This window comes from Homo sapiens, chromosome 6 (assembly GCF_000001405.40).
Source record: "Homo sapiens chromosome 6, GRCh38.p14 Primary Assembly".
Classification (NCBI taxonomy): Eukaryota; Metazoa; Chordata; class Mammalia; order Primates; family Hominidae; genus Homo; species Homo sapiens.
In genome coordinates, this window is record NC_000006.12 from 10,104,563 (window position 1) to 10,119,382 (window position 14,820).

At 42.2% G+C, this 14,820-nt stretch overlaps 1 long non-coding RNA gene and 2 pseudogenes across 2 annotated transcripts in view; 1 reads left to right on the forward strand and 2 right to left on the reverse strand.

Moving 5' to 3' along the window:
• Positions 1-14,820, reverse strand: part of OFCC1 (orofacial cleft 1 candidate 1 (pseudogene)) — a 506,631-nt pseudogene that overhangs the window by 399,585 nt on the left and 92,226 nt on the right. The window lies entirely within an intron of this gene.
• The window catches only part of LOC124900218 (uncharacterized), a 45,268-nt gene that overhangs the window by 9,146 nt on the left and 21,302 nt on the right, over positions 1-14,820 (reverse strand). Inside the window, exon 2 of the long non-coding RNA XR_007059909.1 lies at positions 10,168-10,209. This is a non-coding gene — a long non-coding RNA (uncharacterized LOC124900218). The remainder of the gene's footprint in view (positions 1-10,167; positions 10,210-14,820) is intronic.
• On the forward strand, positions 13,872-14,750 carry RPL7AP36 (ribosomal protein L7a pseudogene 36; annotated as a pseudogene).

Genomic DNA, 14,820 nt, shown 5'->3' on the forward strand with positions numbered 1-14,820 from the left:
CAGCATTTCTGACAGACCTCACCTTCCAGCGGCTACCAATCTTCCCTCAAGGAACCCTCAAAACACTGCCTGTTTTTCTTCTCCTCTTTTTTTGTCCCTGCCTTCAGCACAAAAACCAGGGGATTCTTTGGATTTTCTTTAGAATATCCAATCAAGGGACAAAAAGGCACAGACAGACAAACCATTACAACAGAAGCAATACCCAAACAGAAAGACTCTCTTTCCAGAATTTAGGAATTGGCAGGAGGTTCCTTTTCCCATCTTTGACACCTCTAGAAGCCCACAGTCTAACTAAGAGTTAGCTGTGAATACATTACATAAAGACTCAAAATTACTGCAGAGTAAATATATCTAAAGATTTGAGCTACCTTACAAGAGCTAAAATTGAGTAGAGAATGGTTATACTATTCTTCACTAGATAAGAAGTTTAAATTCAAAAACAAATAAATAAAAGGTAATTCGTGCTCAAGTGGCCCAAAGGCCTATTGCAGATACGGCTGGAGAGCAGAGGAACAGTCTAGGTACCATATGCACTCCCTGGGCTGAGTCCACACGGCCAGTCCTGGTGGCAGTGAATGTGGGACCTGGCCCTCATAAGAAGGCATAGTACGCTGGACTCAGTGTCTCATGCCTGTAATCCCAATATTTTGGGCAGCCAAAGCAGGTGGATGACTTGAGCTCAGGAGTTTGAGACCAGCCTGGCAACATGACGAGACCCTGTCTCTACTAAAAAAAAAAAAAAAAAAAAAAAAAAAAAAAAAAAAAAGAGGGGGCACGGTGGTGTGCCTATAGTCCCAGCTATTCAGGAGGCTGAGGTGGAAGGACACTTGAGCCTGGTGGGGCCAAGGTTGCAGTGAGCCAAGATCCTGTCTCCAAAAAAAAAAAAAAAAAATATCAGTAGAATGGAAAGCTCAAGATGAGTCACTTTCATTTATTTTACCAACAAAATTCCATTGTTAGACGCATGGGGAGAGAAAAGGCCAGTGTCATGGGAACACAAAATAGAGTTCACATTTCTAAGTCTTTCTAAGGTACAAGGTGGATTTTTACAACAGTTTCAAATAATCTAAATCCTTCCCTAAATGCTGCCTGTGCATATTTACACACTGTCAGCTTATCAGATAGTTCAACTATAAGCAGTTAAATGCTAATTAGAACTTTGTCACACCGATCAGCTTTGTAAAACATGGGAAGGTGCCAGTGCAGCATCCCCTGGCCTGGCCAGCTGATGGGCCCTTCCCATCAGCAGTCCATAAGGTAGGATGTGGCCTCAGGTGGTTCTGGATTATCTCATTAGAGCTGTAGTGAGAAGCTCACTAGAGATTTAAATTCTAAGGCCCGAGGCCCTTAAGGCTAAGTTGAAAAGCCCAAGTACTCAGTGCCATCGCTCTATTAAAACTGGGATGAAAAGAAAGCTGGGAAGGAACTGGTCTGAAAAGCTAGCTGAAAAGAAAGCTGTTAGCCACCCAGACCTGGTCCCAGCCACAAGGATCTGACATTTGGAACATAAAGCTATAGTGTGGCCTTAACTCCGAGATATTCAAATAGATGAGAAAAAGGGTAAATAATTTTAGCAAAAATGTGTCATCATTTTCAAGACCCAGACTACCAGATTCTATAATAGAAAACTGAGAAGATAAGATAAAACATCTAAATACATGTTCTGCCTAAGATTACTTTTGAGGTTTTGTTTGTTGTGTCACTGAATTCTGCCCAAAACTTGTGTACAATTTGCTTATTGTCTTGACACCGTCCCCCAACCATTTCCATTTATTTATTTTTCTAAGATTTTCTTTCCAACCGAAATAGACTAGCCAGGGTAACGCCACAGCCCCAAATAACATTGAGTTGGGATAAATGAGAGGTACTTCAGTTGTTCAGGCAGTATCCTTGATAACTCAAAAGACAATGTTTATCTAATTTAAACATAAACAAACAAAATTTTTAAATATAAGCCTGAGGACAACACAAAACTGAGAAGTAGAGGGGGTTTGTTCATGTAAATACCCAGTACTACATGGAGAATCTAGCCCCAGTGGTGAACACCTTGGTACAGCTTCACCATTAAAGATATACTAAAAAAACAAACAAACAAACAAAAATCCCATCTATTATAGGAAACAACAAATGCAACAAAATCCTTTTTTTTTTTTTTTTTGAGATGGAGTCTCACTCTGTCACCCAGGGTGGAGTGCAGTAGCGTGATCTTGGCTCACTGCAACCTCCGTCTCCTGGGTTCAAGCAATTCTCTGCCTCAGCCTCCCGAGTAGCTAGGATTGCAGGTGCCCACCACCATACCTGGCTAATTTTTGTATTTTTAGCAGAGACAGGGTTTCACCATATTGGCCAGGCTGGTCTTGAGCTCCTGACCTCGTAATCTACCCGCCTCGGCCTCCCAAAGTGCTGGGATTACAGGCATGAGCCGCTGCGCCCGGTCAACAAAATCTTGTTCTAAGAAATATCAAACGGGGATTGGGGCGGTTATTTTCTACGCTGAAAAATCCCCTATTTAAGACCCTATGCCATGGTTTGAATATGTCCTCCAAAATTCATGTGTTGGAAACTTAGTCTGCAATGTAACAATGTTAAGAGGTAGGATACCTTTAAGAGGTGATTGGGTTAAAGCTATTATTGCTGGAGTAGATTAGTTACTGTGGGAATGGGTTTCTGATAAAAGAATGAGTTCAGCTCCCTTCCTTTCTCTCTCTCTCTCTCTCCCTCCCTCTCTCTTACCCTCTGTCTTCCATCATGAGATAGCACAGCAAAAAGGCCCTCACCATATGCAACCTCATCAATCTGGGACTTTCCAACCTCCAGAAGTGTAAAAAATAAATCTGTTTTTCATAAATTATCAAGTCTTAGTCTGTTATAGCAGTACAAAATGGACTAAGACATCCTCCAACTTCTAAAGGACAACTTCCACAGAACTCACAAGAGAAACCCCATTCAAGGAGCTCTAGGAAAGACCAGTGTTATGCAACTTCATTCTTAGGAAGCTGAGTGATTCTAGAGATGGTCTCCTCTCAAAAAGAATCAAGTTATAAACTCTGGCCAATGCCAAACTAATTTGATGTTGTTTACACAACATGAGAACTTTGGTCATGCTCTTATTGTGGACATGCCTAAGGTTTATGTAAGAGACTAGATCTCTGCCTGTATTATTTGGGCTCTTAGCCACCACTGGAGCAGTGGACTCTCTACCTCTTTAGAGCACCTGTACTAAATGCTGCTATAGGGTCATCTTATAGTAGAAAGCAGAAAGGCAAGTGAGCAGGCAAGACAGAGAGGACATCAGACCACATTTATCCTTTGATCAGGAGCCACTCCCATAGTAATAGGCCCTCATGACCTAATCACCACTTAAAGGCCCCACCTCCCAGTACTATTACATTGGCAGTTAACTTTTTTTTTTTTTGAGATGAGGTTTCACTCTGCTGCCCAGGCTGGAGTACAGTGGCGTGATCTTGGCTCACTGCAACTTCTGCCTCTTGGGTTCAAGCGATTCTCTTGCCTCAGCCTCCCAAGCAGCTGGGACTACAGGTGCACGCCACCACGCCTGGCTAATTTTTGTATTTTTAGTAGAGATGGGGTTTCACCATATTGGCCAGGCTGGTTTTGAACTCCTGACCTCGTGATCCACCCACCTCAGCCTCCCAAAGTGCTGGGATTATAGGCTTGAACCACCACGCCTGGCCTGGCAATTAACTTTTAACATGAGCTTTGTCAGGGACATTTAAACCATAGCAGCCTATTTCATCTATTTGGAAAAATCACTAATATGGGTGCTAAGCCAGGATACTAAGTCCCTCTTTCCATAAAATCCACATTCATTCCATGGTGATGGCAGAGGCCATGAACACTGCTAGTGAGGAGGGGGCAAGTAAACACGAAACGACGGACCCCCTGGCATTCCTGCTGCAAATCACAGAGAGCAAGGGGCTGACCAGCGCTATGGCAGAGCAAGTGTCAGGAATTGATTTCAAATCAGGTTCTTAAGGATAATGTGGAGGATAATTATGATCATTATTGTTATTGTCATTATACCTTGCAATTACCTTGGCTTAATTAATTCAAACTTGTGAAGTGCTTTGAGATCCTCAGATGAAAGGTGCCATGTTACTCTGAAGTGTCATTATTTTTCTACTGCCCTTTCATCCAAGGTGATTATAGCTCTTCGCAAGCATTAATTAATTCTTATAACAGCCCCAGAAAGCAGATAAGCGTAGGAGTCATCCACACTGGGGCCAAGAGAGACGTTTATCCAAGGAGTTTAGCGGTAGCTATTGTGTAGTCAGTTTGGCTGTTGGGAGGCCCCCAAATCACAGGGCTTTGTGGCTGGAGCATCAGCAATTTGTACAAACCTCCAGTTTAGCAACAGTTCAATGAGGAGCAATATCTGTAAAACCCAGATTTAAAAAAATAATAATTATTCAGTTTATATCCTGAGGATATCCTCAAAGGCTTAGTTATGGGGTAGGGGTGGAGAAAAATAGAACTGTCATCTGTAATTTTTCAATAACCTGGCAACTTTGTAATCAAACAAAACATTTCTCATGTTCTACAGAAAAGTATTGGCCCAAGGTCACAATACTATGGAGCTTAAACTATTATAGGAATTGCCTTTAGTTCAAAATCACAGATAGACTTTGACTTTCACTAAGATCTATGAATTGTGGTCTTTTTCACTGCTATTTATGCTGCTACTGTGGGATGAAGAGTCTTATCATGAGACAGGAATTTTACAGACATAAGTTAGTGCCCTTTTCATAGAAAGGGCAAATCTCCTCAAAGAGGAGACTTCTCTCAATGACTTACAATCTGTTTTTGGCACAAATATTCAATGAGTAAAAGATTTGTTTAAAACAGCTTGGATATCCTACTGACTCCCAGGGAACAGAGAGCAGTGTGACAAAGGGACTTGAGGACTGGCAAAGATGCTTGTTTTCTGTTAGTATTGAAGCTTTGGAATTCTTGCACCATTTATTTAGAAATGGATGTGAATGTATAAGGTCCTAATTACATCAGATCTTAGGACTACAGTAGAAAACAAGGTATTTCATCCCTTAATGATCAGGAGTATGCCTGTCCTCTTGGCAGGGTGTGGCTGCAAGCTGGGTGCAGTGCTGGTGAGGATGAGATAGACAGTGCTTGCCTCATCCACTTGGTGCTGGACCACACTTACCTGGCACTACAAACACTGTTATTGCACAGCCACAAATACTGATGATTATTGTTTTTTACCATTACCATTACTATTGCTGTTATTATCAAATACAATAAAGTTATAATTACTACTTGACATTCATTAAGGCTTGCAAAGCACAACCTCAAAACAGACTCCACCAAAGGTTTATATAATCATTTACATAGGTAGAAAATAAAACTCCATGTACGAAACACAATTAGAATGGACAGAATGTGGTTTTTTTTCACTACAGACTGCTTTTCCAAAGAGTATACAAAATTACTCTCTGAGATGCATATGTAAGCCAAAGGTTTGCTTTGTGTGTCAGTAGAAGGAAATCCCTTGAGATACTGCTCTACTGCACTTCCCAGAACGTCTTAACACCCAGTACATGCTCAGTAAGTCAGTTTCTCTCTAGATGGAACTACATTAACACAGGTGATATAGGTGGCATATTTTGTTTAGGGTTGAAATGTCACTATTGTGAGGGTCATAAATACATATATGTACTTTTAAAATGTATTCCAACTGTTAAGTTCATGCTATATGATTGAGATTGAATTAGGCTCTTTCAAATACTGCTTCACTGATTTCCACTAAGTATCATGAGTTGTGTCATAATTCTGAGACTCAAGCATCATCCCACAAAAGAGCTGATACCCCATCAGCCATTATGATCATCACAAAATGTGCAGACATTCTAAAACAATTGCTGCGCTGATAGGACTGGCTTGTGGCGCGCACTCAGGACACGGTACAGCCTCTATTCCAATCACAGTTCAAAAAAGACTGAAAATCTCTCCCCAGTGTCAATAGCAAATACTCTCTGGACATGTGTTTAAGGAGAATCTGTTGAGTATACACTACCAAATGCAACAGTGCATAAGGATCCAGGTAATTTTAAATAATGTTAAACTTACTGAGAAACAAGAAAAAGTCCATTCCTAAACCAATTTTCATCTGTAAAAAGTTCCACTGCTTTAATTAATGATTTTAAAAATAGTTCATCAAAGTCACTTAGATCTGTTCCGTATGAAATACCATGCCTGTCTATCAACTTTTCTGATATGCGAAGCGTAATTGCACCATTAAGAGCAACTTAATTCGTTCAGTCCATGAGTCCAGGAATATATCAGATAGATTACCTGCATCTAGCTCACTTTTCCCAAGTAAAACCAAGTTAGAACATTGTGCCTGTAATTCTCCATTTGTCTGTCCCTCCAGATCCATGCCCTATCCTTCTATTTTCTGTGAGGCTCATCTCTATGGACCACATTGCACAGACTCCCTTGTCCTCTGGCTGCTGGGTGAGTTTGGCCAAGGGAGGCACCACCAGGATCTTGGAAGGAAGAAGGAGAGGATATGTCCCAGTTCTTCCCTTAAGGCCAGAGTTTTGCCAGTGGTGCCTTCCTCTGACCAAGACAGCCCTGGGCCTTGGATTCTCCAACAACCATTCCCTTACACTTGCTCCTTCCTGACAGAGCTCCTTGGTCTAGATTGAGTGGGTCTCTTTTCTTTTGCACAGAAAATGCCCTGAGTCCCTGATGAAAATAGAAGCTTATGTGGTACTCTAAAGTTTTAAAAAACCAAAGTGAATATTGTATTTCCTGCTGGGGTTTTTCCTCATGACCAAACAGGGAAGCCAAACAGAACTAACACATGTGCTCCGTACCATAAAATATCCGCATAACACAGAATTTCAAGGATGATGGCCTATGAATTGGTCCTTCCATGTGGATTATACAGGCAACTGCCTACCCTGTGTGATGTTTGGAGAAAATGATGGGTCTTGGGCCACACACGCACACAAAAATCCCTGCCCTAAAGTTTAATGCTTCTAAACCCATAGCTTCATCCCTTGTGTTTAATGATTTGTTCAATAAGAATAGCCCAGGGGTAAGGGAGGCTTAACTCTTTAAATGTCAGTAGTCATTTACACCTTAGTAAGATTAAAGGACACAAGAAAAGTTTTGGATGAGAACAAAAGAAAGGCAATATGAGGGTTCCTAAGGAAAGGGGAGGCCAGGCGCAGTGGCTCAGACCAGCCTGACCAACATGGTGAAACCCCATCTCTACTAAAAATACAAAAATTAGCCGGGCCTAGTGGCGAGCGCCTGTAGTCCCAGCTACTCAGGAGGCTGAGGCGGGAGAATCGCTTGAACCTGGGAGGCCAAGGTTGCAGTGAGCCAAGATTGTGCCACTGCACTCCAGCCTGGGTGACAGGACGAAACTCTGTCTCAAAAAAAAAAAAAAAAAAAAAAAAAGAAAGAAAGAAAGGGAAAATGAAGACAGCACAAAGTAAGAAAACAAGGAAGATTCGGAGCTGATCTCATACCTCGCTGCATTTCCTAAAACCAGACCCAGAGTTACAGATAAAAAGCAAAGATGAGCAGAACTTTCACTGTGTTCCTTCTTGCCTGAGTCAACCTACACGCGATAGGCCTTATCAATCAAGCTCCCATTTGGTAGAATGACTTCCCTCTGCTCCCACGACTTACTCTTCCCACCAGAGCTCATCTGACACATTTGCTTCTGAGTGTTTAGGAAGCCCCTTGTTTCTGAGGATGAAGGATAGCAAGTCTCGTGGGACAGGTAGGAGTCATGCTCCAGAACCCAGGATGAACGCCGTGCCTATTTTAAAAGACAATTACAATACATATAGTGTTCACGTCAGTCATCCCGGTGTTTTATTTATTGTATCTGGAAGCAGATGGTCTTCAAAGTGTTTAAACACATTTGAACATGCAAGATCCATTATTTATTGCATGAGATAGTGAATAGAGGCAGAGGCGTGGGGCCATTAGCAGGTACAGAAGGCTGGGAACGCCAAAAGGCAGCTGGCTTCCATGCAGCCCAAGAGAAAACTACCCTCTTGTCACATTGGTTTTCCAGTCCCAGAGCTGTTGGCCAAAAGCACACCTCCAGCCCGACCAGAAGCACTATCTTTGTTGCTGTGTGTGTGAAAACGAATGTCTCTTTTTGTTTTGCCAGAATGCTTGGACAAATATGCAAGTTTAAAAAAAAAAGAAAGAAAGAAAGGAAAGAAAACGGGTGTAAGTTACCAAAAAAAGCTTACTGGATTTAGAATGTCAGGGTCTAGAGAGTGGAAAGTGATTGATTTGGAAATCAAATGAGAAAAAAAAAAAACTTTCTTAAAAATGGAGTGAACGCCCTACACCCTCCCCCTCTCCTCCTTTCCTGGTCTCCTCTCCTTCTTTATTATTGATACCTCTCTTTTTGATCTCTGCACTCCTTTGTTTTGGCTTCCCCGGTGCCTAGGGAAAATGGCTAGCAGTGAGTTCTTCAGCATCCCGGCTCGGGCTCCGCAACCAGCCCCTCTGGCTCAGCCAGCTGGATCACACTGAATTAGTCAAGTACTTCATTATCTCCCCTCTCTGCACATTTTGCTCCAGGTAATAAATGCCCAAACAAGAGAGCCTTCTGCTGCACTGTCTGTGAAGTTCCAGGGTCTGGGCCAATTCTGCAGATAGGCTCCGTGCCCTGGGAGGGCACCACTTTTCATCCCTCGCCTGCAGTGCCCCCCAATCTCCGTTTAGTCACAGCGGTTCGCTAACCGTGAGCCGCTGATAACCGGCCGACTGGGGAGCCCGGGAGCCCTTGCGGAGGCGTGGGCTGGCTCGGGTGCGCAGGCCTGGCCCAGCGGGGGCGCCGGGAGAGCCGGCCCAATTATGATGTTGGGAGGGATGTTGTGATCCTCGGAGGCGGCTCTCGCTAACAGGCAGGGGCCTGGGGGTCCCGAGGCAAGGCCGGTCTCACAATGGACAGGCAAAAATGTAGATCTCTAGGTTTGGTGGGCAAAGCCACAGGGAGGAATTTTTAAAACATAATCAAGTGGCCACCCTTGAAAAGTCAGGTCAGGCTAAATCACGATGTGAACTGTGTGGCCCTATCCCCTTGCTAGTAGATGGCCCGAAATAAGAGGCTCCTTCAGCTTCAGAAGTAAGATCCAGGTTGAGCCCTCCAAATGCAAACACATTTTCTCCCTCGATTTTCCTCTGACTTTGGGGTTTTGTGAGTTGTTTTTTTTTTTCTTCCTTCCTCCCCTGAGAACAGTTTCAGCTCTGCTCATTGCAGCAGTGAGGCAAACCTCCAAGGCCTTCTTTCTGGTTGGTGACAGGCCAGGTACCTAAACCAGAGGGAGCAGAATCAATAGAATTGAGCATCTTGACCTGCACATTAAAGGGCCTTTTAGGGTGACTGAGATTGCAATGTCACAGAATTGTAAATGCATGTAAGAAAATTTGGCTACAGAGACTAGCACTTTAAAGATAACACTGTCTTCATGTCAATTAAACAGGGAGAATGACCTATAGGGAAAGTTAAAATTCAGGATTGATATGAATCAAGAGATTTTAAAGCAAGAGAAGCTTTTTTTACATCCCTGGTACAAGTATTATGGGAAAGTCCACAGAGGAAGAAAGAATATATAGATCAACTCTCATTCATCAAAGCTAACTACTTTAATATCAAAGAATGGGAGAAAGGGAGCTCTCAGGCAAAACAGGGGGTCCCCTCCTCCTGTACCCCCTGCTCCAAGTCATTAGGAAAAAAAAATGATAGAAAAGAAATGTCTCTGGCCACCGAGGTCTAGACTGCAGCATTTAGATAAAAATATAAATGGCAAAATACTGCTAAATTAATCCAACTTCCTTTGATTATTGATGTCCTACTGTTTTGTGCCTGAAACAACATACAAGATGCATCAGTCATTTATAAATTATTCATTCAGTTATTTTGGCAGCAGTGTCTTTCCATTTATCAACTGATAAATGTACAGAAGATAAGAAGGGTAATTTTATAGCCTCTTGACATTTACCTTTGACATGATTTTCATATTTAATAAGGGAAAAACACTAATGAAATACATTTGACAACACCGTAGGCATCATAGATTAACACCAGCAAAAATAAGCCACAGGCACCCGATCTCCCAGCTTTGGCCAGGAGCTCCAGAAACTCACCAGCTCCCTTCAGTTTCCTGCTTGACACACTCCCATCTGTGTCTGCAAACAGAAGTAGATATAATGAGAATTTTTGCTTTTGCTTCCTTGTTTGTTTGGTTCTGAATAGCTCTACTTTGTGACCTAAACAGAAAGAGGCATTGTTTTTATTTTTGGTTTTTGGCAGGGTGGTAGTCTAAACAGTTTTATTTTCTAAAATATATCTACCAGGTAGATTGGATAGGTCTATAGGGATGGTGTATGCCTGGTGATTTTGTTATTCATACCAAAGCAACTCACTTTGAGCATTCATGCCAATTGGCCCTCTTGATTCTTTTTTTTTTTTTTTTTTTGAGACGGAGTCTCGTTCTGTCGCCCAGGCGGGAGTGCTGTGGCGCGATCTCCGCTCACTGCAAGCTCCGCCTTCCGGGTTCACGCCATTCTCCTGCCTCAGCCTCCCGAGTAGCTGGGACCCTCTTGATTCTTGATAAAAGTTGCAATGGATAATCCCTTCACTATCTACCCCTCCACCATAATCAGGTCTTATTTGTGCCTTAGTCTCACCAACCTTCTCACCTGGCTTTCCATTCTGCTCCACTTCTCTGACTAGTATTCTATAACTGTGCTATTGACTCACACCCCACAACACACACAAACACACACACACACACACACACACACACACAAAACGTACAGAGAGATCTAGAGAGAAGTAAGGTTATCAAGTGACGCCCTGGGACCTAGACTGTGGGCTGGAACTGTAGCTAGATAGAGTGGGTTGCCAAAGTTGGACTGCTGGCTCTGGTCAATCAGAGGCCAAAAGATAAGAGTGACAGCAGTTTCTTCATGCACTCTAACCAACTGATATATCTAAATGTTTCCCTTACATCCAAAAGCTTCATCAACAGAATTTTGTAAAAGATCCGGACATATTATGAGAATAATTTAAATAGATTCCAGGAGTGAGATCAGATAGATAGGCAATTTTCATTTGGCTGTTCCCTAGAAGGACCTACGGATATAAAAAGTCCCTTTATCTTAGAGTTACTGGGATACCAGGCAGGAAACCAAAGCAGATTCTCAGAAATAAAACCTCAAAGGGGAATTTATCAGGATGACAGCACTAAAGTACCTGACAATGTTTGGAAGCAGTGATGTTGTACAAAAATTATTTCACTTACGAGACTATAATTTCCTTGAGAAAATGAACCAAGTTACATTTATGTTAGTGTCCCCATACCCTAGCACAATACCAGGCAATTAATAGGTATTCAATAAAAGTATGATTTTTTTTGCATTATAGTTAACATTTATTGAGGACTTGCCATCTGGCAGGTACTATGTTAAAAACTTGGTATACATTATTTCATCAGCCTCATAATACTGTCAATATTAGTTTTCAATACTGTGAAGTATTTAGAGGCTAGGGAAATAAAATCTAGGGAGGATAGTTTCCTGGGGTCACACAGTAGTAAGTGCCAGAGCTACGGTTAAAAAAAAAAAAAAAAAAAAAAAAAAAACATAGACAATCTAATGCCAGAACCCATGCTCTTGGCTACATTTGTTGCCTCTTGGGTTGAACATCTAAGACCAGGACTGTGAAAGGAGGATGCTTGGTCAAAGTAGGACCACACAAAGCTGGCATCATTTTCATACTAAGTCATTGGGATAGGGTTCATTAAGTTTTTCACATTATTATTATCCCAAGGGTCTAAAGCAGGGACTTTCTGGAGGCATATACAAATAAAATGCAGAGGGCAAAGCCAGAGCTTGAATTTTATTTTTATAACGGTATGAAACATTTACCCAAACTCCATAAGTAAAATGAGAAACAGAAAAGCGACGTTGAACTCTTTCTTTAATAAACCTCTAAGCTATTTTTTTAAAACAAGCACCAACCCACAATGTAAGGAAGACATGCCAAATGCAATGACAGTCAGCTTGAGAAAAGACACCCTTTACTGCAGATCTCAAGCAAAGCCAACAGCACACGCTTCTCCAACCCAAGCGACATACTCTGAAAGGTAAAGCAATGGTCTGTGCTTTTAACTATCTAGGGCTATATACTATATTATTTCTAAACTTAGTGGTTTAACCATCATAATTTAATGTCTCACAGTTTCTGCAGGTCAGGAATCTGGACATGGCTTAGCTGAGTCCCCTATTCAGGATCACTCATAAGCTATAATCAAGGTGTCAGCCAGGGCAGTAGTCATCTGAAGTCTCAACTAGGATAGGATCCACTTCCCAGCCCACTCATGTGATTGAGGACTTTAGATTAAAGGCCTCAGTTCCTTGCAGGATATTGAGGCCACTCTCAGTTCCTTGCCATATGGGCCCCTTCACAGGGCAGCGGAAAATATGGTGGCTTTCTTCATTACACTAAGGAAGAAAACAACAACAACAATGAAAAAAAGTGGGAACTAGATGGAAGTGACAGTTTTTAAATAATCTAATCTTCAAGTGGCATCCATTTATCTATTTTTCTTGGAGGCAAGTCACTAAGTCCAGCCCACGGTCAAGAAGGGATTATACAAGGATGCAAATATCAGGAGGTGAGGATAAGTGGGGCCATCTTAAGTCGTTCATTTATCTCATCTTACTTAAAACTAAAGGAACAGGTGCGTGGACTGGCAGTGGGAAATTCCTTGAGCCAGTTAGAACAGAGTCATGAAAAACACAGAATATGGGAATGAGCAGAGAATCTATCAAGTTATATCTGCAGAATGCATTCTGTGTTTGGCAAATGTGACAAATTGTGTTAATGGCCCAATTCTGCACCCTTGTATCCATGCTCTTCTTCATGCAACTTTTCAGTTACTCTCACTAAAAAGGTACAGGTCTTTTCCTCGCCTTTGGGATCTTGGCTCAGCTAAGTCATTTGCTTTAATGATGTGCCAGTTCCAAGACGAATTCTCAAGAGTCCTGTGTATTTCTCCTTACTCTCTTGCACCTCTGTCATTGCTATGAGAAGGATAAAACTAGGGCCAATATGCTGGTCTCAGGGGATAAATGAAAGCTATGTAGAGCAAAACCACTCCCAGCCTAGGCCAGCCTAAACCAGCCAACCACCACCAGCTGTAGACTTAGGAATGAGCCAACTTGAAAGTTAACCAACTTATGAATGTGACCAACATGATCACAATAACTAATAAAAGTTTGTTGTTTTTAAGCCACTAAATTCTGAGATGGTGTGCTATGCTGGAATAAGCAACTCATACAGTATGGGAAAAGAAGGAATATCTGCATTAGGGTCATTCTTTTACTAATAATCTCAGCTGGCTTGGAAGAAGTAAATCAAAAGATCTGAAGGAATGACCTGTCAAAGCCATAAGAACTTCTGCAAGGCTAAAACATAGTTTTGCCTTTTTTGGAAGATTAGCCTCCTAAAAATACCTGGTCCAGAGAAAATGTGCTTTGTTCTGAGAAAAATGAAAGTCTTTAGTAAAATGAATTAGTGTAAAAATCCCAAAAATATGACATAAAAAAGAAAGAAAAAAATGCAAGTGAAATGGCATATCCCCCCAAAATATTGGCATAAAGCCACTGAAAGCAAGAACAAATATATAAGTACGAATTTTGAAAATGTAACAAATCCATTGCCCCTGCAAACAAGAGCTCAAGTAATATGCAACGATCAGAGAATATACAGGGGACTAACATAATTAGTCAAACCATGAGCTTGAAGAGCTAAGGGAAGAAGTCAGACAAAAAAGGTAGTGGAGCTCCTCCCGCCACCCAAGATGCCTAAAGGAAAGAAGGCCAAGGGGAAGAAGGTGGCTGCGGCCCCTGCTGTCATGAAGAAGCAGGAGGTCAAGCAAGTGGTGAATCCCCTGTTTGAGGAAAGGCCTAAGAATTTTGGCATTGGACAGGACATCCAGCCCAAAAGAGACCTCACCCACTTTGTGAAATGACCCTGCTATATCAGGTTGCAGCGGCAGAGAGCCATCCTCTATAGGCAGCTGAAAGTGCCTCCTGTGATTAACCAGTTCACCCAAGCCCTGGACCACCAAACAGCTACTTAGCTGCTTAAGCTGGCCTACACATGCAAAACAGAGACAAAGCAAGAGAAGAAGCAGAGGCTGTTGGCCTGGGCTGAGAAGAAAGCTGCTGGCAAAGGGGATGTCCCCACTAAGAGACCACCTGTCCTTCGAGCAGGAGTTAACACCATCACCACCTTGGTGGAGAATAAGAAAGCTCAGCTGGTGGTGATTGCACACAACGTGCATCCCACTGAGCTGGTGGGCTTCTTGCCTGCCCTGTGTTGTAAAATGCGGGTCCCTTACTGCATTATTAAGGGGAAGGCAAGACTGGGACATCTAGTCCACAGGAAGACCTGCACCACTGTCACCTTCACACAGGTTAACTCGGAAGACAAAGGCGCTTTGGCTAAACTGGTGGAAGCTATCAGGACCAATTATGATGACAGATACGATGAGATCCACTGTCACTGGGGAGGCAATGTCCTGGGTCACAAGTCTGTGGCTCATGTCACCAAGCTCGAAAAGGCAAAGGCTAGAGAACTTGCCACTAAACTGGGTTAAATGTACACTGCTGAGTTTTCTGTACTTAAAAATAATTAAAATAATACAAATTTTCCTTCAAAAAACGGTGGTGGAGAAATGAAGTTTACACTACAAGTAATATAAAAGAGAACCAATGATACTGAAAGTA